The sequence below is a fragment of the Homo sapiens genome, chromosome 12 (assembly GCF_000001405.40).
Source record: "Homo sapiens chromosome 12, GRCh38.p14 Primary Assembly".
In the NCBI taxonomy this organism is placed as follows: Eukaryota; Metazoa; Chordata; class Mammalia; order Primates; family Hominidae; genus Homo; species Homo sapiens.
Window position 1 is genome coordinate 94,287,633 of NC_000012.12, and position 25,916 is coordinate 94,313,548.

General features: G+C 40.2%; 2 protein-coding genes across 33 annotated transcripts in view, besides 2 other annotated features; one reads left to right on the forward strand and one right to left on the reverse strand.

The window, feature by feature from the left end:
* The window catches only part of PLXNC1 (plexin C1), a 159,099-nt gene extending 139,056 nt beyond the window's left edge, over positions 1 to 20,043 (forward strand). For 3 of the 5 annotated variants that reach the window (NR_037687.2, NM_005761.3, XM_006719186.5), the window contains 8 exons: positions 6,854 to 6,908; positions 9,557 to 9,588; positions 9,684 to 9,791; positions 11,000 to 11,163; positions 13,278 to 13,425; positions 16,124 to 16,264; positions 16,345 to 16,419; positions 17,549 to 20,043. Coding sequence is in view for 4 of the 5 variants with exons in the window: in NM_005761.3 (NP_005752.1) it covers positions 6,854 to 6,908; positions 9,557 to 9,588; positions 9,684 to 9,791; positions 11,000 to 11,163; positions 13,278 to 13,425; positions 16,124 to 16,264; positions 16,345 to 16,419; positions 17,549 to 17,653 (828 nt within the window). In the remaining variant the exon portion in view is untranslated. Of the gene's footprint in view, positions 1 to 643; positions 2,134 to 6,853; positions 6,909 to 9,556; positions 9,589 to 9,683; positions 9,792 to 10,999; positions 11,164 to 13,277; positions 13,426 to 16,123; positions 16,265 to 16,344; positions 16,420 to 17,548 lie in introns of those variants that run through there. The other 2 variants (XM_047428050.1, XM_011537730.4) reach the window with 2 other exon arrangements.
* Positions 1 to 25,916, reverse strand: part of CEP83 (centrosomal protein 83) — a 194,793-nt gene that overhangs the window by 21,971 nt on the left and 146,906 nt on the right. For 10 of the 28 annotated variants that reach the window (NM_001346459.2, NM_001042399.2, NM_001346458.2 and 7 more), the window contains 3 exons: positions 25,282 to 25,385; positions 22,286 to 22,475; positions 20,066 to 21,285 (listed from right to left, as the gene is read on the reverse strand). In NM_001346459.2, coding sequence (NP_001333388.1) covers positions 21,181 to 21,285; positions 22,286 to 22,475; positions 25,282 to 25,385 — 399 coding nt within the window. In that variant the 3' untranslated portion in view covers positions 20,066 to 21,180. Of the gene's footprint in view, positions 1 to 18,760; positions 18,994 to 20,065; positions 21,286 to 22,285; positions 22,476 to 24,939; positions 25,097 to 25,281; positions 25,386 to 25,916 lie in introns of those variants that run through there. The other 18 variants (XR_007063082.1, XR_007063081.1, XR_007063083.1 and 15 more) reach the window with 4 other exon arrangements.
* Positions 16,702 to 17,581: an enhancer, noted in NCBI's record as "OCT4-NANOG-H3K27ac-H3K4me1 hESC enhancer chr12:94698110-94698989 (GRCh37/hg19 assembly coordinates)". NCBI's record gives its function as "activates a minimal SCP1, AML or CMV promoter by ChIP-STARR-seq in naive H9 embryonic stem cells {active_cell/tissue: H9 hESC(naive)}" and the evidence as "EXISTENCE:reporter gene assay evidence [ECO:0000049][PMID:30033119]".
* Positions 18,196 to 18,295: a silencer, noted in NCBI's record as "silent region_4727". NCBI's record gives its function as "represses an Ori minimal core promoter by ATAC-STARR-seq in GM12878 lymphoblastoid cells {active_cell/tissue: GM12878}" and the evidence as "EXISTENCE:reporter gene assay evidence [ECO:0000049][PMID:35858748]".

Here is a 25,916-nt window from a genome sequence, read left to right on the forward strand (position 1 = left end):
ATGCAGAAGTGGTCACTGCTAACAAATTTGTAATTCAAAAGATATTTAAAGCTCATAGGAATGCCCCAAAGGGTCTGTTAAGTAAGGTCAGCAATGCTTCTGGTCAAGTCCATCATCTGTGACACTAAAAGGGACTGGACAATCGCTAAAGGTCTGTTGCAGTGTGAATGTCTTTAGATATTCATTTAACAAACACGTATAATGCTTCTTGTGTACTGGGTACTGTTCTAGGGCTTTGACCAACAGCAGCTCTTTCCGTCTTCTTTACCGCTCCATGAGGTGAATACTATCAGCCCCATTCTGAGGCCCAGGGAGGCTAAGAAACTTGGCCAGAGTCACAGAGTTCCTTCACTGATGCCTCAAGGCTTGAAAGCAGGCGAAATAACCACTCTAGAGACTGTGGCTCTGCGCAGGGCCTGAGGGATACCTTCCCCCAGATCCAGGCTTTCAGCCCATGCTCCTAACCTCCGAGGCAGCCTGGCTAGAGAGCTGGGCCTGATTGAGGAGAAATCCTGGTAGTTACATTCTCTGATGTCAAATTCATAAAGGGTAACTTCTCTTAAAATCCCAGGGTGAATCTCGTGTCTGTGAGTTTATCAAAATGCTTCCCTACTTCTACTTTAACCCTCTTTTTGGCCAGCAGTCCGTGAAGATGACAGTTACCTTCATCCAAAGGGGGCCTCTCTCAGGCATCTGGGCTCTGACAACTCCAACCCAACAGGATCACTCTTGAGTCTTAAGTGTTCAGGTCTTCGCAGTTTCCCACACATTCTTGGTGGCCCAACTCCCTCAGGAGGAAGACAGTCTCAGGGCTATCACTAATAGGCCGCAGAAGGAGCTGGCTAGTGGCCTGGAGGTTAATTTCAAGTAAACAAGAGAGAAGCAGGAGCCCTGTGGCATTTTCTCTGGTTTCCAGCATCCTGTAAGCCCTCCCCTGGATGTCCAGAACCTTCTGTGTGATTTGACCAGCCTGTGGAGGATGTTCTGACGGCCCCTTCCAATGCACTGGTGAACCCCTGTGCTGAAGGACTCAGCAAGGTTATCCCTCAAGCCCTGAGAAACAAGATTTTGTTTTCATCAGTTTCCAGCCTTGGGGCATCAGTGAGAAGAGCTGAGGGAGAAGACGATACTGACGGAGGGAGAGCAATATTGGCACGTGGCTGCTGGGACAGCATGTGGAATAGAATTCTGTTTTCACGTAATATTGTTTCAGCAGAAAAGGTGATTTCAGGAATGAGAGATTTCAATCAGAGTTTCTGTGTAGTGATTTGATTCTCATGTTTTCAGATTTTTTTCTTTAAATTATCACAATATTCAGAACATATTCATAATTTTTCATAAAATTTATAGCTACAATGCCAGCATTTCTCTTAGGTGGAGCCATATGAAATTGTCAATAGGTGACCATTTTTACCTACAAAAGTGGTAGTTTCATAAGGTTAAACATAAGTTCAACCTTACATTTCTAGAAAATCTCTTTTCATGGAATTCTAAGCTGTGCCATAAACATGGTATCTTATAAAGAAATCTTACCTTCACTTGCAAGTGGTTTGGAGGATGTGTAGCTCCTGTTTATTTTGGAAATGACTTAAAGTTGTTGATATGGGTCTTTTTCTCCCTGAGTGATTACAACTTCTCATTCTAATGATGGGAAAGTCTACAGTCATCTCTGCCACTTCTAACGTGGGGTGGCCCCAATTCCCCTCCATTGATGATTGGAGGGGAATCGCTTGTTGTCACATCGAATCCTAGAACCCTGTGAGACTGGAAGGAATTTAATTTGAAATTGCCGTGCGTACCAGTTCTGCTCTGGGCTGGAGAAACAATCCTGCTGCAGATCCATCTAGTGACATTAATCTTTCTTTGACTTAATTTGGTTTTCATCCCTAAAGTAGGGGCCCAGAGGACGCTCCCTGCCTCACAGGACTAGGGGACGATTAATGAGTCACTCTTAGAAGAGCATTTGGAGCTCCTCAGATGGAACAAATGGCATCTTTTTAACACTCTGCATTCCAGGGCACTTTTCAAAAAGGCATTTCTGTCCTTACCTCAGCAGCAGCTGACTTGTGCTAAAAAGAAAACGGAAACCTTTCCCCCACAAACATCTGTAAATAAACTATTTTTCTGTCTTTATAATCGTGTTAAAGTGTCACATGGGGGAAATGTTCCAGCTCTAGAGCAGCTGTGAAAGTTAGAAATGCACTCACACATACGCGCTCACACACACACACAACTCATCCACTAATAAAATGTTTCTACACTTGCTCTTGGGAGATAATTTCAGAGTAAAATTTCCTTGGTACAAGCTGTGTCTATGCTATCTTAATGCCTGAGCACAGCACTAGCAGCGGGCTGTTGCCAGCTCTTGAGGAGACATTTGAACTTTTGGCAGCGTTCCTTATCAGAAGGCCCATCCGAGGTATTTGTGATTATAGAGTAAGGGTGCTCGCTTTTGGCAAAACAAAGCGTCTGACAGTAGTGAAGTACTGGCTCAACACTCAATGGGAGACATTTGGGATTCATTCTTTGACAATTACCCAGAATGAATCATCAGCTTCCTTTTATAAAAAGATATTTATTGGCTTAGAAACAGAGCATATCCAGCTCTTCGTGGGGAGGAATTTTGTAACTATGTTCAAAGCTTCTCATAAACTCGGTGTCTGAGTATTGCTAAGGGGGTGCCTGCACAGAGCATTTAGTTTAATTGCATCAAATATGGAGGAGAATTGAAAAATCAGCCAGCAAACAATGAATAGCTCAAGGGGAAAAGGAGAGGATGCTCGTTAATAGGAGCAGAGTCGAAGAGCTCAGTAAGAGTTAAGAATCCCTGCTGGAGTCACTTTGCAGAGGCCTGATGGCCCCAGCCGGCCCCTGCCCAGTGCTGCCCCCACCCCACCACCAAGATATCATGCACACCAGCAGTTGGAGGCCTCTGGCCTAAACTTAGCGGCTGGCTGGACAGCTGTGTTTGAGGACCTCTTGAGGGCTGGCTCTTGCTCTGTGTTCCTCCCTGTGGGTGTAACCTGAAGGAGATTAGGTTTTAATCCTTTGGTGCTTGCTAGGTGGGCTAGTACATTCTGATAACCAATGTGCAGCAGGCCAGAAGAGAAATTCTAGGTTTCCACTCTTTCCAAACTGGGAAGGCAAGGTCCAAATTAATATTAGAATTGAGAATAGCTTTGGAGCTTCAGAATGGAGGGAAAAGTCACTTAGCTGATAAGGTTCAGAAGTGACAGGGTCAGTCCTCCAGAAACAGTTCCAGAATGAAGGAGATTTGTGGATCTCTGACCTGCCTCCTTCTTGCCACCCGTTTGTCTTGTAATTTTGTGAATGAGCCCCTCCTCCCACAGAGCCAGGCCTGCCCCCAGCATCTTGGCATCTTTGTCCCCCTTTGCCCGAAGGGCACTTCCTTGCTTGGGGATTTGCGAGTGCCCATCAGGGTGTGGGGGAGGGGCACTGTAGGGCCACTTGACCCTGGTTTCCATGGTACCAAAAGGTCTTAGGTGAGAACGCTTGATTTTAACTCCAAAAGAGGCAATATATACAGAGGCCTGCCTTTGTCAAATGTATACATTTAAAATCTGTGGCAATTCTTATCAGTTCTATTGAAGCATAATTTTTGAGACAGGGTCTTGCTCTGTTGCCCAGGCTGGAGTGCAGTGGCACAATCGTGGCTCACTGCACCCTTGACCTCCCACGCTCAAGCCATCCTCCTGCCTCAGCTGGGACTACAGGCGTGTGCCACAATGCTCAGCGCTTTTTTGTTTGTTTGTTTGTTTTGAGGAGAGATGGGGATCTGAGTTCTCCGGGCTGGTCTTGAACTCCTAGGATCAAGCAATCCTACTGCCTTGGCTTCCCAAAGAGCTGGGATTACAGTCATGAACCACTGTGTCCAGCCAAAATATAATTCATATTACCATAAAGCTAATTCGTTTAAAGTATACAATACAGTGGTTTTAGGTATACTTATAGAATTGAGCAACCATTGCCACAATCTAATTTTAGAACATTTTCATCCCTCCCGAAGAAACCTTGAATTCATTAACAGTCACTCCTTATTTCCCCCAGCCCTGCTTTAGCCAACTAGTAATCTACGATCTGTCTATATAAATTTGCCCATTTTGGACATTTCGTATATTCTTTTTAGATTCGTGGGTACATGTGCAGGTTTGCTACAAGGGTATACTGCATGATGCTGAGGTGTGGGCTTCTATTGATCCCATCACCCAGTGAACGTAGTACCCAACAGGAACTTTTTCAGCCCTTGCCCCAGACCCATCCCCGCTTTTGGAGTCCCTCATGTCTACTGCTCCCATCTTTATAGACACTTCATATCAATAGGACCATACAATATGTGGTCTTTTGTGACTGGCTTCTTCGCGTGTTTTTGCAGTTCATCCATGCTGTAGCATGTATCGGTAATTCTTTCCTTTTATTGTATGGCAATTTTTGGTAGTATATTCATACTACATGAACTAACACATAGTAATAATGAACTACTTGTAGTTGCAACATGAATACATGTCACAGACCTTATACTGACCCTCAAAATCTAGACACAGTACATACTGTATGATTCTATTTATATGATACCCAAGAACAGGCAAAATTCATAAATGGTGATGGAAGACAGAAAAGTAATTACCTCTGGATGAAGATGGGGTGGTCATTGTCTCGGAAGGGACAATGGGAGCACTTTTCAGGACCTTGCAATATTTTATATCTTGATAAAGGTGGTGGTTATGCCAGTATATATTTAATGTGAATAGTCATTGAGCTGCACACTTAATATTAGCAAAAGTTAAGCATGTCCCACATTATGCTTACATTTCAAAGCTTTTATTAAAAAGTATATGCAAATTTTGTGATTTTACAAGCTTTTGAAAAAATGTCACAGGTTGAATATCCCTTATCCAAAATGCTTGGAACCACAAGTATTTCAGATTTTGGAATTTGCTTGGATTCTAGAATATTTGCATACACATAATGAAATATTTTAGTGACAGGACCCATGTTTAAACACAGAATTTATTTATGTTTCATATACACCTTGTACACAGAGCCTGAAGGTAATTTTATATAATTTGTGCACAAATCAAAGTTTTTATTGGGTTTTGACTGTCACTCATGCTATCATGAGTTCAGGTGCCGAATTTTCCACTTGTGGCACCACGTTAGCACCCACAACGTTTCAGATTTTGGAGCATTTTGAATTTTCGGATTAGGGATGCTCAACCTGTATATACCTACAGAAAAACAAATAAATTATAAGCGTACTGCTGGATGAATTATCATCAAGTGAGCATATCCTGAAACTACCACCCATGTCAAAAAATAGAAGCCCTCTCCTGGCCTTTCCTAATCACTACCGCTGCTCTCTTCTCCAAATATCTAACATGATAGTTTTGACTGTTTGGGCTTTTTCTTTTTTCAAGCTCTATGTAAATGGAATCAGTCAGTATACTTTCTTTTCTGTCGAGCTTCTTCTGCTCAACATTATGATTGTAAGATTTACCCATGTGGCGTGTAACAGTAGTTTGCTCATTTTCATTGTTTTATAAACTGTTGTATAAATATGCCCCAAATTATTCATTCTGATGATGGATGTTTGAGTTGTTTCCAGTATGGGACAATTACAAATCGCTCCCTATCAGGATTTATACTTATTTCTGTGGACTAAGGACCTACATGTGAAATGGCTCTGTCATAGGGTAGATACCAACTTTATATACCACAATTTCTGAAAACCCATTTCAGCATTTCTTAATAGAGTAGTGTCATAGTCAGTTCGGGCTGCTATAACAGAATACCATTGACTGGGTGGCTTAAACATTTGTTCCTTATAGTTCCAGAGACTGGAAGTTCACTGTCTGGGCAAAGTACTAGTAGCTCGGTGAGGACCCTCCTCCTGGTTTGCTGAGAGCCGTCTTCTTGTATCCTTGTGTAGTGGAAAGCAGAGGGGACCAGCAAGCTCTGCTGTCTCTTCCTTTTCCTCCTCTGTTTAGAGACAAGGTCTCACTCTGTCGCCCAGGCTGGAGTAGAGTGGCACAGTCAGGGCTCACTGCAGCCTTGGATGTCTGGGCTCAAGTGATCCTCTCACCTCAGCCTCCCAGGTAGCTGGGACTACAGGTGTGCACCAATGCGCCCAGATAATTAAAAAAATTTTTTTTATACAGAGGGATCTCCCTATGTTGCCCAGGCTGGTCTCAAAACTCCTGGACTCAAGGATCCTCCTCTTCTTCCTCCCAAAGTGCTGGGATCGCAGGAGTGAGGCACCACGCCCAGCCCTGGTGTCTCTTCTTATAAGGGCACTATTCCCATCATGAGGGCTCCAACCTCATGACTTAGTCACCTCCCAAAGGCCCTACCTCCTAATACCATCACACTGGGATTAGGATTTAAACATAGGAATCTGGAGGAGACACAAACATTCAGTCCATAGCAAGTAACAATTTTTTAACCTCAAAAAATGAAACTGGCCTAGGTCTTGCCTGACCTCTGCGAATTGGGGGGAATGTCCTAACACAGCTCAGTCTTCCCCTCTTCCAGGGCTTCCCACCTCCCATCTGTCCCACAGGGTCCTGGCCTCCACCTTCTGCGTACTACCCCACTGCCTCCCATGGCCTCATCAGCCTCCTCCACAGGACCATGAGCCCCTTGAGGACAGAGACACTGCCTTGCTTGTCATTTAGTCCCAGCCTCCAGCACAGTGCCCAGAACATAGTAATTCTTGATAAATATTTGATTTAATAAGTGACAGCATGTAAGATCCATCCAGCCATCTAATTCCTGGGTGAAGTTGAGAAATCCATTAAATTTTGAACACTCATATATCTTTTATCTTTGGTTTCAGATATCAAATGGATCCACTATAAAAGTCTTTAAGAAGATAGCAAATTTTACTTCAGGTAACCAATATAATATTGTTAACCTTTTGTTCTCACCCAGCTTCATAAAGTATTGCTTTTTGCCTCTCTCAGCTGTATTGTCACAAAGGTGAGATTGAGTTGTTGCTATGTAATTCTCTGAAAGTTGAGAAAAGTCATTTTGATCTCTTTGCAGTCCTAAGAATGTGATCCCTGCAAGAAGGAAAGGAAACTATAGATGGTGGTTGGCCTGGACTGCCCAGCACTGAGGAAGTGGCTGCCTCTTTATAGCCCTAAACTCAGGGCAGAATCTCATAGCTTTTTTTCAACCCTTTAGAAGGATGGGGCCTAACAGAGGAGATCCCCCTGGCAAACTGAGAGGGAAGAGTACAGACAATCATCACAGAGCCCCGAAGCAAGCGCTGAACAAACAAGATAATCCACTTAGAAGGTCCAAGTCTCCTGTGATAGCACTTGCAAAATTCCCAGAAATTGGAGAGAGACAAACTAAAGGGGGAACTTTTATGGGAAAGTCAATAGGCTGGTCTCTAAAGTGATCTTCTGCTTCCCTGATAGCCCTGGGGCAGGAAATTCCTGTTCCAGGTTTGTCTCCAGAGAAATTATACCCCAGTCAAGACAATCAGCTCTCAGCCCTTGGAAAGGTTCTGAGCTCCTCCCAAACAGGCTCCTTTCACACACACAGCCAGAGGTAGGGCTTCCTGACTTCTGGATTCACTATTAGAAGGAGCAGGGAGCATCTGGCCAGTGCAAACAGGGAATGTGGGGTTCTTGATTATACAGACAGGATAATTGGGTAGGACTCCTTTGGGGAAACCCACCTTCCATCACTATATGGGGCTGTGGTGAAGCCATCTTGCAGAGATCATTCCAGCTTAAGGGGGATGGTGTCTTTGTGTTGAAAAGTGGAAGAGCATGGTTTTTAGGTTTCAAAGATTGGGCCTTTTGAAGAGCCTATTATTTGGGGATTGAATAGTAGAATCTTAGGTTTGGATCTCTTCGTGGGCCCTCCAGTCAGTCAACACTGCTGCTAGTTTCCATTCACTGCAACTGAGAGCCACCGTCTTACACCCTGCTAATACTCTAAACCTCCTGTACCTCTGTCCTATCATCAGCCCCTCTGTCAAAATCCCAACGCTGGATGAACCCAACGATTATCCTTTCCTGACCCTACAGCTAGGGAGCCACAGAAGAAAGGCACATAATGGCACACAGTGGGTCACTATAAGTTCATGGTACCCAACTTGACCAGGGCCCTCCACACAGCCTGCTCTCATTGGGTTCCTCTGGGCAATTCAACTCTGTGTTGTCCATAATGTCTGCCTTCTCTCCTCAAAGCTTTGACCCACACAGCTCTCCTCTCAGCAGATGACTTCACCCTGCACTCTTTACAGAGAAAACTAATCAGAAGTCCTTCAACAGCCAGTAGCAAACCTACCAACCTACCTGCACCTGCCTTCTTCCTTGATGCTTGTAGGCTGACCTTCTTCCATTCAAGGCCAGTCTCTCACCTGTGCTTTGGGTCCACCATCCTTTCCAACCTTCTTGGTATCCTTACACCACCAGTAATCTCTTTTCTCACCTGTACTTTCTTTTCCTCTCCATCTACTCCCCATTTTCCATTAGCATTTCAAGATGTGCTCGTCTCTCTCATCTTTATTTTTAAGACAGTGTCTCGCTGTCACCCAGGCTGTAGTGCAGTGGTACAATCATGGCTCACTGAAGCCTCAACCTGCTGGGCTCAAATGATCCTCCCACCTCAGCCTCCCAAGTAGCTGGGATTACAGGAGTGTGCTACCATGCTCAGATACTCTTTAAAATTTTTTGTAGAAATGAGGTCTCGCTACATTGTCCAGGCTGGTCTTGAAATCTGGACTCAGGCAGTCCTCCTGCCTTGGCTTCCCAAAGTGCTGGGATTACAGATGTGAGCCACTGAGCCTCTCTCAACTTTAAAACAAACAAACCAAATGCCTTACTTCCTCTCTTCCCTCCATTTACCACTCCCTTACCCTTTACAGCCACATTTCCTCACTCTGCGCTACTCTTGACTTGCTCTGTGAGCACCACCTCATTGTCCTTTGAGATCCTAGAAAGGGTCAGCTCCTTCCTACCTTTGGACCTTCCTGCAATTTGCCTAGCTGACTCTATCTCTTCATTAGATTCAGCTCAAGCATCCCTTCCTCAAAAACTCCTGGACTAGATTTGGTCTCTTGTTAATTCTTTAGCATATAATTCTCCTTCATAACCTTTATCACAGTTATAATAATTGTGTACCTAGAAGTTTGATGTCTCTCATTGGCCAGAATGCAAATTCCATCAGGGTGGGAACTGGGTCTTATTCATTGCTATATGCCCAGTAGTCCCTGGCACATAGGAGGTGTTCTAGGTACATTTGTTAAATGAATGAGGCTTGAGCCTCTCCTACCAGCAAGAGATCAGAGATCACTAGGGAATCTACTTCCTCCTCCAATCCCTCACCCGTCCCATCTTCACGCTGTTCTTAAGATCTTAAGATGCAGCAGGGGGAAAAATGTAGCTATGGAGAGCTCAAGTCAAAAAGCTCAAGTAACTTCAGTATACAGCACAAATGGGGCCTTTTAAGAGAAGGCCGATTAGCCCATGGTTGCTTTTTTTAATGGACTGCTTTCTCTCCCTCTTTCTCTGGCATTCAGATGTGGAGTACTCGGATGACCACTGCCATTTGGTGAGTTCAGGCTTTCTTGTGCTCACCACTGAACTGCATGCCTTCTGTAGCAAGAGTGGTCTCCTTGGGTAACGCTTCTGCTGTCTTCCCTTCAGATTTTACCAGATTCGGAAGCATTCCAAGATGTGCAAGGAAAGAGACATCGAGGGAAGCACAAGTTCAAAGTAAAAGAAATGTATCTGACAAAGCTGCTGTCGACCAAGGTACACTTACTGTTCTGGGAGCACTTTATGGCTACCTAGGGGGTGTATGATATGTTTGACTTAATTTCCACTGAAGTGTGAAAATGTTACAAATCCCTTGTGCCTTCTAGCAAAGCAAAATGAAAGTTTAAATTGTAAACACTTCCTACCCAGTTCCTCTTCTTTTTATACACTACAAAGATAACAGCACTTTACAGATTTGTACTGTAGTATCTTCAGTCAGGGATTTAATATTGTTCCCAGTCTCTTTCTCCACCATTTCACTATTATTGTTATTTTTTAGGTTGACAGCATAATTATTCCTTTTGGTTTACTTGTTATTATAGATGAGCAATAAAACTCCCTTTTTGAATTGCGAATAAAATGAAGGGGATGGGAAGGGTCAATGACTATAAACCTAGTAAATCTTAATTTTTGTTTTTCATTTTAAAATTAAGAATTCTGCTCACACATAAAAGTGTCAGATGTGAAAGCCGGTGGAATACCAAACCGAGAGCAAATTTTACTTTATCTGGCTTTTAGTGGAATTAACAGAAGTCTGTGGTGATCTTTTTTTTCCTCCCCCTCTGGAATGATGAGCACTATAAATGCTATGATCTACACTTGGCCCCAGGAACTTGATGGGCATGCTTCTTCAGATTATAACAAAGAATCTGCTTAGAGCTTAGGAGATTTGTTTAGTGGGCAGAGGACAGCCCAAGCCTCTTGATTTTCTCAGCTGTCCCATAGAGCCCAGCCTATTTGGCTTTTGTGAAATACTCAAATGCTTTGGAAAGTACACAATAAAACTTTATGATAGAAATATATGCAACAGGAAAAATTCTGGGAACAGAGCAGCATCACTTGAGCTTTTCCAGGCTGAACATAACTAATAAAAGCCAAATATCCATGGCTTCCTGGTTTATGTAAACAGCCCTACAACTGACATTTCAACTGCTAGAGATTTCTGATATCCTCCCAGTTGACTAAACAATGTTATCAGCAAGAAGCTTATGAACCAAATCTAAACCTGGGCATGGATTTTCAAGACTTTTGACCTATACTGTGAGCACTGGCCACATTTGACAATTTTACATTTTTCTCTTCAGTTTGTTTTTCCCTGTTTTGAACATTATTTTCTCTGAATGTGGATTTGCTTTTGCTATTATGTTTTCAAAACCACTACCACAGTTTTTAATCTCCCAAATCTGATGTTGTCTATCTTTCAGGTGGCAATTCATTCTGTGCTTGAAAAACTTTTTAGAAGCATTTGGAGTTTACCCAACAGCAGAGCTCCATTTGCTATAAAATACTTTTTTGACTTTTTGGACGCCCAGGCTGAAAACAAAAAAATCACAGATCCTGACGTCGTACATATTTGGAAAACAAACAGGTGGGAATGTAGGTGATTAGTGACTGTTTTCAAGAATCTGGGACAGAATATTAACTAAAAGAAAGACATAGATAGTTATAGAAGGATTCATTTATCTCTATATCAGAATCTTTGGGCTTGGTAAGCTATCATGTCAAAGTAGTTTCTTATTCTGTTACTATTTTTAAACAATAAAGGAAACCATTCCTATGCCAAGAATCCTGTTCTTGAAGATAAACTGTTATCTTTGGTGCATGATACTTTGTCTAGAATGTTAAAAGAAATTTAAGTTGACCAGTAAAGAATGAGAAATTAACATTTGTGGTTTTATATCATTTTTGCATTAGAGAAAATTTTATGATAAACCATTTTTTGTTCCTAATCGGTTACTTTGCAGTCTCCAAGCTGTCTATACTCTGATTCTGTACAGAAATTTATCAAGTGCAGTACTCAGATACTATGAGAATTAGCCAAAAGTTTGTGTTTTGTTTTATATTTTAATATTTTACCTTAAGGACAGGCAAGGCATCCAAATTTTGCCTCCTCAGTAAAGAAATGTAGCTCATGAGCTCTCTTTGAAATGCTGTGTGCATGGGCTGGATAAGACTCAGAGTTATGATGAAGTAGAACTTCTCAGTGCAAGCTCAAGGCTTTCCAGGCACTGAGGGCAGCCAGGTCACTTTAAATGAGTATCAAAAGCTGAAGTTCCTCTAGGTCTAATCTCCCATTTAATCCAGGCCTATCCCAATTCTCTACGCTGGCTTGCTCCCTTCTCTTCCTGTGTTCTAGCCTCTTTTTTTTTGAGACAGGGTCTCACTCTTGTTGCCCAGGCTGCAGTGCAGTGGTGGGATCTCGGTTCACTGCAACCTCTGCCTACTGGGCTCAAGCAATTCTCCCACCTCAGCTTCCCAAGTAGCTGGAATTACACGAGCATGCCACCGCACTCAGCTAACTTTTAAAACTTTTTGTGAGATGAGGTCTCACTACACTGCCCAGGCTGGTCTCAAACTCCTGGACTCAAGCCATCCTCCTGCTTCAGCCTACCAAAGTAGTGAGATTACAGGTGTGAGCCACTGCCCCTGGCCTGTTCTAGCCTCTTATCTCCAGTCCCTGCCACTCCCACATCAAGACTGGGAGCTGAGGGCCACCATTCCACCTTGAAGATTATGGCATCTGAGCAGGGGCAGCAGCCAGGACAGTAGAGCTGTTGGGAGACCTAGCAGCATATGGGGGAGGTAATGAGCTAGGCCAGAGTTGAAAAGGAGATAATGGAAGGACTTTGAACCAGTCCCAAGTTCATGTTCGGGTATTTGAGTACCTACTATGGGCCAAGCAGTTAGTTGCTGGAGATATAGTAACAAAACAGATGAAAGTCCAGGTCCCATTCTAATAGTTGGGGACAGACACTAAATGCAATATGCAAACAGTAGCACATTAGCAGATGATGAGTGCAGTGGAGAAAGTAGGAAAGGAGGCTAGTATGTGTCAGGACTAGGTGATCTGAGAAGGCCTCACAGAGATGGTGACACTTGAACCAAGTCTTGAAAGAGGAGAGGGCATAAACCATGAGACTACCTGAGGCAAGAAAGTTTCAGGCAGACAGACGCCAAGAGCACAAGTTGTGAGGCACGTGCTTGCTTGGCCCATATGAAAAATAGCAAGGAGAACAGGAGAGTTGGAATGAGCGCGGTGAGGAGCAGTGGGATAGGAGGGCCAGGTCATGCAGGGTGTTATCCAGAGGGAGATGGAGAGCCTCAGAGGGTTGGAGCAGAGGAGAGACATGGTCTGATTCTGTGTTGAGAGGACTGCTGATAGTTATGTGAGAACAAACTGTCAGGAGATGGGAAATAATCCAGGTGAGAGAGATTATAATCAAGAGCTATCTGGAGAAAATTCTTGCCCATGGCCACTTTCAAACTTACCCTCCTCTATCCTTCTTTTACAGTAGCTCTGCCAGTTAACCCTTTCTTCTTCTCTCCAAGTGACGCTTCTGTCTGTTGCTTGGTATGTTTGGCTAAGCAGAGTTGTATACTTCAATAACAAGGACAAAAACACCCGTTTACAAACTGTGATAAACAGACCATTGGCTTCATGAATGGCCCTATTTGAAAAGAGATTATTCTCTCTTTGAACAGCCTTCCTCTTCGCTTCTGGGTAAACATCCTGAAGAACCCTCAGTTTGTCTTTGACATTAAGAAGACACCACATATAGACGGCTGTTTGTCAGTGATTGCCCAGGCATTCATGGATGCATTTTCTCTCACAGAGCAGCAACTAGGGAAGGTAAGGCCCAGCTTGAGTATTTCTTGTATGCAGTCTTATGAGTTTGACATACTTGTCTTTCTGATAAGCATTCAAATAATAAACAATTGGTCTAAACTACACCAGCTAAAAAGAGATAGCAAGGGCCACTGTCAATTTGCTGTTATTTAAAATCTGTCTCATTATTTTTAATCTAATTTTTTTAAAGTGAAAAACAAAATAATTAGCCCCACCCAACTGCAGAATTCTGCCTGTGAAAAACTTTATCACAAAGTATGCGTTTTGTTTCCTAGAAAAATATTCTATGGACACTGATAAACTATTAACCCAAAATATGCAACCATTGAAATTTGCCTAAATCAATTCTATTTGAATATACATAAAATGCCTATTTGAATATAACACATTGCTTATGGGACACAAAATCTTGCTCAAGATTTCTAACAATACCAGTTTGTCAGTTTCTAATCAAAGCATGAGTACTGTTTTCCTATGGTTTTCTTTGCTGATCAATAGTCCCAAGAACTCAAAGAAAGACAAAAATCAGAGCAAACTTCGAAAGAGATGTTTTGGTCTTATTTGAGCGCTCCAAAATATACTAAACTGAGCAATATCTGTGCCTAATGGATCTTTGAACACTGAGGAGGAGTTCTTGGGCAGGACTTTAAGAGTACCTGGAATGAATGGAGACTGATGTTCCACAGGTGCCTCAGACTCCCAGTCATAATCTAAACTCTTTATCAGCAGTATTTCTGCAAAACAAACCTGTTTTTACTTTTGTCTTCCCTAGCATTGCCTAGTCTCTCAAGGTAGAATCCTCAACGTTATCTTTGACTCCTCTTCCTTCCAACCTCTATCCCCAAATTATTGGTTACCACTTACTTCTGTCTCAAATGTCTGTCGCTCCCTCCTCCTTCCTTAGCCTTATCACTTAGCCTTATCCCTTCATCCCGTCCCTACTGGGATAACTGCTTCCTAATTGGTGTCCTTGCCCCTGCTGTCCACCTTTCCTTCTAAACTTTTCCTTTTCACTGTCTCTCAGGTAATCTTTCTAAAACATAAATCTGATGATGTCAGTCTGCTTCTTAAAAATTGCAACTATTTCCCATTACCTACCAGCTAAAGTCTTCACAGTGCCACATAGTGCTTCCTGATGGGCTTCAGCCCTCTTTGCTGGCCTCGTTATTTTCTTGCACGCCCCACATACCCACTGTGCTACAGCTTTTACTTTTCCCAAGTTCACACCATGAACTTGTTCTCACACCCCTTTGCTCATCTTTCCTGTCTCACAGTCCCTCTGTCTAGTAAAATCCTACCCATTCATTCATCATAAACATTTTATTCATTCGACAAATATGATTTCCTAATGAGGACCAGAAACTGTAGGAGACTCAGATCAGTCTACATATGCCTACTTTGTGAACTTTCCCCAATATATTTCCTACAGCACTTTCTTCATTTGACTAATAAAGTTCATCTTAGCATGCAGCACACTGAAAGGCACTTAAATGTTTGTTCACACTAAAAACAGTTGTTTATGAATTATGTTCTTGACACACTTCACTTAATCCTCACAAGTACCAAATAAGGTAGTTATTATTACCCTCATTTTATAGATGAGAAAATTGATGTTCTGGGAGGTTACAAGTCTTGCCTGAAACCACACAAAGTAGCAGAATTATGATTTCTGATTTGTCCAACTCTTTCTGTCAACTACTGCTGCTAATTATTTGTATCATAGTAAGCACTTCATAAATCTGTCTTTGCAACTAGATTGTAAGCTTCTCAAGGGCAGCCACTAGTCTTTATCATTGTACTCTCAATGCCTGCTCCAGTGCTTAATAATGTTTATTGAATGAATGAATGATAGCATGATTTCTGGGTTCCACTTAAATTTGACAAATGAGAAAATCTCAATAATATCTCAGTCTCTAGGCATCCTTCAGAATGATTCATCAAGCCATTGATTCAGCCTCATGGGCTGGGACATTAGCCCTATCATTAACTTACCTATCTTCCCTGAGTAGAATTTTTTAAAGTTTTGTGAAAAATAATGATTTTTAAAAATAAAATCATATTTAATTTTTAAATATCACTGTTATAATTACGTAGAATCATTCAAATTGCCAGAGAACCTCTGCAAAATCACACATCAGAGCCACCAATACTAATGACCATGTGCTTCCCTGAAGAAACTGGATGATGTCTATAATCTAATGAAATAAAAGGGACAAGCTGGAAAATCTGCCTCTGCCAATTACTTACCAGTTTCATGGTTATATAAAGGGCTCAATCAGACCTACAATCAAGTCTTTTGTAAATGCCAAATTCACTGGTGGGTGAGGATGAGAGCAAATGTTTTAATTCAGGCTTTTTACAACCATTAGTAATGAACTATGATTGAAATAAGTTCCATTGTTACAGTAACTCAAAATCATGCAAAAATAATAATTTTAGTTCTTTTATGAGAGGAAGGCAGAATATATTAGCATTTAATCTGCCTGAAAATAACAGTGACTCACCAGAACTATCTAGATAGCAGTCAGTCATTCAGTCAACAACATTTAAGGCCTACTGCATGAAGCCTTGTTAGCAAGAGGTAAAACTGGTTGGTGGTGGGGGTTCAGCTACATTGGAATATTATAAATTCCTCCATCTTTTTTTTTTTTTTTTTTTACTCTTTTGGTGATGGTTGCTTTTTTTTTTTTTTTTTCCCCAGGAAGCACCAACTAATAAGCTTCTCTATGCCAAGGATATCCCAACCTACAAAGAAGAAGTAAAATCTTATTACAAAGCAATCAGGGATTTGCCTCCATTGTCATCCTCAGAAATGGAAGAATTTTTAACTCAGGAATCTAAGGTATCATTAGAAAGCAGAAATAAGCTTATATTTGGTTACTTTACGTCATTTCAGAATCTCTCAACAAGTCTTTCTTTTAGAAACATGAAAATGAATTTAATGAAGAAGTGGCCTTGACAGAAATTTACAAATACATCGTAAAATATTTTGATGAGGTAAGATTTTAAATAACATTGTTTTTAACCTTTGAATCAGGCACAAGGATGTGGTTATAGCATTCTGTCAGTTTCAGAACAGCTCTGGCATCCCAAAAGGCCAGAAAGGGAAGCCAGGAAGCCTGTCTGAGATGGGGGATCCTGGCACTGAGCCAGACCCTGTACATGGCTGCCCCCCTTACAGTTTTATCATGCTGCCCACATTTGGACCAGCCTGAATTTACATTTGAGTTCATGGGGCCTACAGCCACCCTGACTCAAGTTAACTTTGATGAGTAAGTAGTGGCCCTATTAAATGGGGTCAGCTTATGCTTGATTGTAATTTGCTAAAAATGAAAGCTAAGCTTGTTAAATTGCCTAGATTCTGTATTCAATCGTTATATGAAATTATGACATATTTCTAACTTAAGCGACTATTTCAATAAACCATTCTCCTTTATGATTAATTCTCCTTAATCTGGGTTTTTTTCTTTGGAAATTCAAACAGACACATTCATCAGATGCTTTGTTTCCAAACAAATGTTAACTCCCCCTTCCCTGATTCCCCCCCAATCATGCTGGGACAGGCTATCCATGTCAATGGTGAGAATAGCTCACCAATTCCATTTGCTACTTGAAGATGAAGTGAAGCTCTAAGGTAGGGTAGAGGCAATGAGTTCTTAAACATGATAAGCATCCCTCGTTCCAGGGGTCAGGGGAGAGAAGGGAAGCACGAGGAGGGACTACACTGCCCAGATGGGAGGGAAGGGAAGGATCTGTCTCTGACCAGGATGTCCCTGCCTGCTGCATTTAAGGAGAAATACTTGCCTGCATGTTGGCTGCCCAGGAATGCTTGCTGTGCTTGGAATGGCTGTGACATAATGCATAAAGCAGGGCCTAGGAAGCCTGGCCCCATATTTGTAAGCAAATAGTTGGTATTTCTTGCGAGCTTCTATTTTAAGCCAAGGTATTGTTGATCCTGTGATAAGGACTTAGCAAAACAACTTGCAAAGTGAGTATGTAAATGATGGAAGAAAATGTTGGCATCTGTTTCATACAGATTTTACCACTCACAGCATCAGGTATGCAAAAAACAGAATTGTAACGCTAAAACCACAATATCTAAAATAACTGTTCTAATTGTCAACAGATTCTAAATAAACTAGAAAGAGAACGAGGGCTGGAAGAAGCTCAGAAACAACTCTTGCATGTAAAAGTCTTATTTGATGAAAAGAAGAAATGCAAGTGGATGTAAGCACTCTGGGGCCTGGCTTAATCTGGCAAAGTTCTTCAGACGACTTGGGAGCAAAATGGCTGCTTGAGCTACTCTGTGTCGTTAATTTGTTGTTTGCACATAGGTTCCACTTTGGGCACTGTCTTTTTAAGAGACCAAGGCACATGCACAGCTTTTAGAAAGCATACCAACCCTTGTGCCTGTGTGTATACCGTGGGAACCCTTCTGTAAATAGAGTTGAAGTGGTTGTTGCAAACAGCCTCCTTGTTTACAGAGAATACAAGGCCAGTAAGCGAATGTCAGTATTGTAACTACAGTCTCCACTTAAGCACAATGATATAAGTGGTTTTGTTTGAAAACTACAGCTATGTAGCACTTGTGCTACACTGCACCTCTGCATTGTAAAGGGATACTGCCAGTGCTCAAAACAAAATGTGAAATGAGTCATTTGGAAACAAGGTGGGGGTGTTAGGGCAACCTCGAGGATTTGCAGCATTGAAACTTTCCCCAGTAGTTCTTGGAAAAGCTGACCGCAGAATTTGGTAGTGTACACTTAGCATTTGTGAGTGTGTGTGTGTGTTTAAACCAAAAACTAACAGTGTTGCAACATTGTTGAAAGGGCTCGTGTTTTTCAGTGGTCATCAACTGCACTCCATCAAACTCACCTCCATTTCACCAAGGAGCTCTAAAGTAAGGAGAGTGGGCTTTATTTAAATGAACAGCATTTTAACCAGATACTTTGTCCTAATGTATGTTCCTTTTCTTCATCTGTTTTTTCATACTAAATGTATTTGATAGTGGACATGTTGGATATTATACAAAAAAATCATTAATTCATTTCTGTTCCAAAACCTTTGATCAGAACGATCTGTGGAAGAGTAACTCCATTTCTATATGAGTGAGTGTCTCCTTGCTTTAGATTTCTGGTGAACCCTGTGGTTATGAATACTTGTGTGTGATTTAAAAAAAAAAAGATACATTTTACATTTTATCGAATTGCTGTTCACACTGGAGTATTATATATAAATATATATATTTGAGGCCCAAGGCCTGAAAAATATTAGTATACAACTTGGTATCTTAGTCTTACTATGTACTTTTTGAAAGTATTCCTCGCAGGAGAAAGAATTTAAAATACCCATTTTATTCATGCCTTTCTTTTTAAAGAATTCTCTATCCAGTTATACTGTAGTCTTTTTAGTGCTGATTTTTTAATTCCTGAATTTTTGCTGCTCATGACCAGTTTTAATACCACTGTGTTTTCCTTCTATTAAACCAGAAGAAGTAAACAGCATAATTGGCAACTCTTGAGCTTTTCTTGTGGCAGGCACCTTTTACCCTTGGTGCTCCAAATCCCCCATCTAGGAAAGAAAATTTTTTCAAGTCAAATAACATTGATCACATATTCCTTGAAATCATTTACCAACACTGTATGGAGCATTAGGATTTAAATATGAATTTGTCTTAAAGGCAATTCCTTTTTGCTTCTGTATTATCTGGAAAAGCATGAGAGAGGTGACACCTCAACAAACTGATCAGAGAAAATAAGCAGTTACTACCCTGATAGGCACCTTCCCAATCCTGTTGCTTTTGACCATTGTCTGTCCAACGGACACACCTCAAACAAACAAAACTACCAAATAGATGACAGATCAGAATAAAGGTGAGAGGTCTGGTCCCCATTGAAGGCTGCTACAGTCTTCAAAGAGGTGAAGGAGTTCATAAGAGAACAACAGTAGGAAAGTTGAGAGCCAAGGGTAGGAGAGTTGCCCAAAAGACTTCCCCTACTACTTTAGGGTACTGAAAACTCAAAGGATCAGCTACAGCTTTATCTAAGTATTTACTAAATGCTACATGAGGGTGTCCCTGTCCAGCTTTCTGGCACATGAGTCCTGTGTGGAGAGTTACCTCCTCTTCCAGGGACTGTGCTGTTGGGAACTTTGGGCAAGTCACTTACCTCTTTGTGCCTCAATTTCTGTATAATATTTCTAAGCTACCTCACTGAGGTGGTATGAAGATTCACTAATGTATGTAGCGTGTTTGTCAATCCTCCAGTGAAAAGCACTATCTAGATCACATTTTGGATCACATTAGCCAAATGCAGTAAATGGCCAAATTAGATGTGTGCTGAAGACAATCAGTCACTGGGTCTATATTAAACAGCAACCAGAGCAACAAATGGCAAACAATTTCTATTTTCAAGTTTCTTTGCATATTTTTTTGGTGCAAAACCATTTATAAACTTTTTTTTCTAACACTAGTGTCTACAGCAGCATTCAAAAAAATTCTGTTACCTTTTCTGTATTAGGATTTAAAGTCTATTTCTTATTGTATACCTGATTGAAGCTGTTCTTGGAGATGAATGTTTTAAATGTCTATATCCAAAAAATAAACATTTTGATGTAACTGTGGACTGTCTTTTTTTTTTTTCAATTTTCTAGTTATAATAGTTTTTTTATTCTAAGTGGCTCCGTGGAAATTATTTTTCAGAGATAAGGTGTCACTGTATATGCTGTGAATAAGCAGCTATATTATGTAGTAAGTAAACCTAGTTTGCTAAATGGTGCTAAGGACTGCTCAATTACAGTCCTGGCCTTCTTCACTATCAACTGGGACTTTTGACTATGAACACCTTGGGATAATGAACATTCCACTTAATTTGGGAGACTTGAGCTTTAGCCTCGTTAACATGAAATTATTCCAGCAGAATTCCTCTAAAAGATGTCACATTAAAAAGGCTTCCAATGGGTGTAGACCAAAAAAAATGAGAGCATACTTAGGGACACAAAACACATAATTATTTGGTTAGATCCACAGTAATGGGAAGTAAAGTTAAATACCAACAATGTTTATAAAAGGACCTGAGTTCAAGTTTTATAATCAATGGCCCCCTTGTTAATACAGCCATAGGATTTAATTATTTGCACTTATTCTCTATTCTAACAAAGCCAAAATCAGTAGACTGTCATATTGCTAAATATATGCTATATGGTTGATGTAAAATTAAACACACGATTAAAAAAAAATTAAGCTCTTTAATTATGTGCACACAGATTTTAGAAAAGGTAGCCTTTTGTATATAGATACCTTTACATTCTTTAGGCTGACTTTTAAATTGTCATCTTTTTTCAACTACAGTTTTTGTATATAGTAAACCAGAAGATGTGTATGGACCCTGTTATGGCCAAGCATCTCAAAGATGAAGAGAGAATTAATGATAGTTATATTTCACTCAAAATGCCAAAAAAAAAAATTCAACAAAGTAAAAATTTTAAAACTTGACTCTAACTAGTTCCTTTTTGTTTTACATTCTCAAACCATTGTCAAATATTCTAAATATCTCTGAGAATTTCTCTTTTAATGCTTCACTTGTATAATCTTAAAATCCTGACAGTCATACAATACAGCATGTAGTAGGTACCTTTTCTTGAGGCACATTCAAGTGTTTTGGCAAACAGTAAAAAGTATCTAAATGCCACAGGTTAAAATGTCAAGTTTTACTGAGTCACCAACTTCACCTCTTTTGATCTGCCTGTTCTCCAAGAACATCATTCTCCGGAAGATCCAAGTTCCTCTAGTTGTTTTCTTTGTGTTGTTTCCAGTTCTTCTAGTCTTTTGCGAAGTAGAGAGAGTTCCCTTTGATGTTGTTCCTCCTTAAAATGATGTAGAGAAAGCATAGCAAAAGAAACTATTAGAAAAACTGTTAGGTAGCAACCTTGGACTGCCTCTTTTATATATGCCTATAACATCTGGCAAGGAAATGCTGACCACTGTAGCAGTCTAAAAACAGTAGCATGGGCTAAACTACCATCTAGTTTTGCTTCTCTCCTGCCTCAGGCTCTAGCCTTAAGCAAAACCCGTAGTCTGTTCTTCTCTAGGTATAAAATTCACCAGGGAGTGAATTAGAAAATACTAATGCAGGGCCCAGGTATACTTACATGGTAACTTTCCAACAACACTGGTGTTTAACAGCAGTTTATTATAAACAAAGCACTTGGCCTGAGATTCAATTCAGTGATTAAAATCTTCTGTGCTTATGTTATAAAACATAATTACTTATTAATACTCCCATCTTCTGAAAAAGAATCAATCTGATTCCTTCAATACCTCAGGGGCTTGATACAATAGAAAGAGCCCGGGTTTTGGATTCAACAGGTTTAGGTTTGAAACTTTGTCACTTATTAGCTATGACCTTATGCAAGTCACTTCACTCTGAATCAGTTTCCTTATCTATGAATTAGGAATAGTAATATCTGCCCTCAAAGCATTTTTCGTTAGTATTAGACATTGCACGGAACATGCACAGTTCACTGCGTTAGTAAATTCTCAGTAGTAATTACTATTAACATTATGAATAAGCTACAAACTCTAGGTTACTCAATGACTCAATCAAGTTTCCTCTTTTCTATCGTCCAGTAAGAGATTTCACTCTCAGCACCAACACTAAAGGATCATGATTCAAACTGAATTCAGCAAATTTCTATGCTAAATGAAAGGGAAGAAGTTAAAAGTAGTTTTAAATGTTTATGCCATTTTTGTGGTGAATTTTGAGCACTGACCAAAGTTATAATTTGAGTTTTATCACCATATTTAAACATAAAAACCTACAAAAATGTACGACTTTTTTTTTCCCCCTAAAATAAATGCTCATACCTGCATATGAGGAGGAAATGGTAGTTCCATGCTTGGAACCATGGCTGATGACTGAAAGCTAACAGGATTGATAGATGCTGTTGGAGGCATGTTAGGAACCAAAATTAGACTTCGAAATTCATTATGTCTTCTCTGTATATCTTTTAGTCTTTTTTGAAGCCTTGTATAGTCTTCAAAAGGAACATTTTGTCTTAAAAAGAAAAAGAAATGTTTCTTTAACATGGTTATACCCTATTGAAGCACAGTATGATTCACAGAATATAATTTTAAACTGGAATTTCTAAATTATGAGATCTATATATAATATATAGATAAAAAATCTGTTTACCTAGAAAGATAAACAGAAACATGACATAACATCTTAATCATTAGCAATCATTAGCATTGCAGACTATCAACTCATTATAAAGTTTTATTTGCTAATTAAAGATCTAAAATCTTTTGATACTTTGGTACTCACTCCTACCCTCCTACTCACCCCCATTCATGAATCCTGAAACTAAAGGGAGACTCTAAACCAAAAGAGTGCCTTATCTTACAGAAAGAATCAAATAAAAATACAGTTCATCCCTCAGTATACACATGGGATTAGTTCCAGGACATCCCTCATATATCAAAGCCTGTGCATACAAGTCCTGCAGTCAGCCCTGCAGAACCCTCATAATGGAAAAGTTGGTTCTCTGAACTGGTGGGTTTCACATCCTGTGAATACTATATTTTCTATCCATGTTTGCCCGAATAAAAATCTGTATATAAGTAGACCCATGCAGTTCAAGCCCATGTTGTCAAGGGTCAAGTGTAAAGAAAATGCTGGATTGAAGCTTACAAAATTGCCATTTTTAAATAGGTGAAATATGGTCAAATATAGAGATTTTCATAGTTCAATCTAATTTTCAAAATGTCAGTGTAATATTTTAGTAAGAAATATATATTTGGTCTTTGCCCTTGGTTCCTGGCACACAGCTCCTAAAACTCTGGGAAACTCTGAAGTGATAAGAGTATCTTTTGTATATTAATAAGATAACTGGTGGCTGGGGGCCCCTGAATAGCTTCAGGATGGGGCAGGTCACCAGAAAGACTGAGGCATGATTAGAGGGTTGGAACTTTCAGCCCCACTCTCCAACCCCACCCCATGACATCTGGGAAGGTAAAGGACTAAAGGTTGAGTTGATCACCAATGGCCAATGATGTAATCAATCATGCCTATGTAATGAAGCCTCCATAAAAACCCAAAAGCATGGGGTCAGAGAGCTTCTGGGTTGCTGAACATGTGCAGGTGTCTGCAGGGAGGCATGCCCAGAGAGGGCATGGAAACTCCACACCCCCTTCCTCATAACTTTTCCTATGTATCTCTTTCATCTGACTGCTCATCTATATATTTTGTAATATCCTTTCTAGTAAGCTGGTTAACATAAGTTTCCCTGAGTTCTGTAAGCTGCTCTAGCAAATTAACTGAACATGATGAGCAGGTCATGGGAACCCCAATTTATGGCCATTTTTAGCCAGTCAGAAGCACGGGTTACAACTTGGGGCTTATGGCTGCATTCTGAAGTGGGGGGCAGTCTTGTGGGACTGAGCCCTCTACCTGTGGGATCTGATGCTAAATCCAGGTAGACAGGATCAGACCTGAATTACAGGACACCTAGCTCGTGTCCACTGGAAAACTGATTACTCCATGTATAGGAAAAAACCCCAAACATCTGGTGTCAGAAATGTTGTGTTGACTGTGTGAGAATAGGAAAAACACTGGTTTTTCCTATTATAAAAGGTAATCACAAAGGTGAAGCTACACAACTTTAGGAAAAAATGACATGGAGAAAAAGGCTAACTTTCCAGGCCTTCACAGATCATCATCTTTTTGGACACGACATCCAGTAATCAAATATAATTTCAAAATCACTCAAAATTCTAGATGATCTGCACCACAACTGGCCAATCTTGAATTGCTAACATTTCAATATTAATGTTTATGGAAGAGGAAGTAAGTTGAATTCTGTTTTAGAAGGACTGAGCCAGGAATGGTGGCTCATGCTTGTAATCCCAGTGCTTTGGGAGGCTGAGGCAGGAGAATAGATTAAGCCTAGGGGTTCGAGGCTACAGTTAGCTATGATCGTGCCACTGCACTCCACCCTGAACCATAGACGAAGACCCCATGTTTAAAAAAAAAAAGAATTGAAACAAAATTCAAAATTACAAGCATGTTTGTAATTTACAAATTACTACCAAATTAATAAACTAAAGGCGGCCTCCTACTTTGGAATAGAGTATTGTAAGGCTGGCACTAATTCTACAGTCTAGAAACTTCTAGAATGTTCTTTAAAAAACAATTGTTCACCTGTTGGTAATAATTGCACCCAAGAACACCAGTGCACATCATAAAACGTCACTGCATGATATTATAGGCAGTTTCCATTACAGAAAAATCTATACTTGAATAGCCAAGGCGCTGAAGGCTACCACTAATTCACTAAATTAAAAAGATTTTTCTTAACTTGAATCAAATGTGTCATATAATGCCACTACCAACAACTTAATATGACAAATCTCTGCTTTAAAAATGCTGATGATCCTGATTATCAGATGTGCTTGAATGTGACTGCAAAACCCGAAACTACAGCTCAATAAAATCTCCACACCAGGAAACCAAAACTGACCTTTGATTCAAAGTTGTAGGCACAATTTTCAGAACTATGCAATAGCTACAACTGTCTTGTACAGCAGCAACAACTAACACCACTCCTTGCTACCAAAGCCAGTGACATTTTCTGTTAGTCCCAATCATAAGGCAAACACCTGGTATGTGACAGAGACCTTTTGGTTTAAAGAAACATTCAGTTAGGGGGTAAAAAAAGGATAGTACATTAGGAGTTATCAAGCTGTTTTAGAAATCTTTAAAATGTATATTTTAAAAGAAAAGAAGGTACGTTATACTTAGAGACAAAGTTCTATGACATCAAAATAACCACATGGGGAAGATACACATACAAACACATTACCTATTTAAGACCTGATTTTCTGTTTCCAATTCTTCTTTCTTTGCCTCCAAGACTTCTACTTTCTCTTGTAGTCTTTTCAATTTGTTTTCATGAAGAGATTTTCTCTAAAAAGAGAAATATGAACAAGTATGTTAATACATAATCTCTTATTTGAACAAAACTATATAGAAAATATTTTACTCACCAAAAACTGTGTTTAGATATGAATGTTTTCAGTGAATACTAGAAACAAAGGTTAGTAGACATGGCTCTTACTGAAAATTGCAAAGATAATAAACCACAAATCTATCTAATATTCTCAATGTGACAATTAATTATGAATGCCAAACAAAAAAACTGTTATCAATAATTGCTGCAAAAAAAAAATCTACAAAGGGAAGGAGTCAAATTTTACTACTGAGTCTGCCTGTACATCTGGTAAGAAATAATGAGCTCTCCATTGTTCCAGAAGATAGCATGTGTTTAAGAGAACTGAGCCAGGTACAGTGGCTCATGCCTGTAATCCCAGTGCTTTGGGAGGCTGAGGCAGGAGGATGGATTAAGCCTAGGAGTTCAAGGCTACAGTTAGCTATGACTGTGCCACTCCACCCTGGACAACAGATCAAGAACCCATTAAAAAAAAAAAAAAAAAAAAA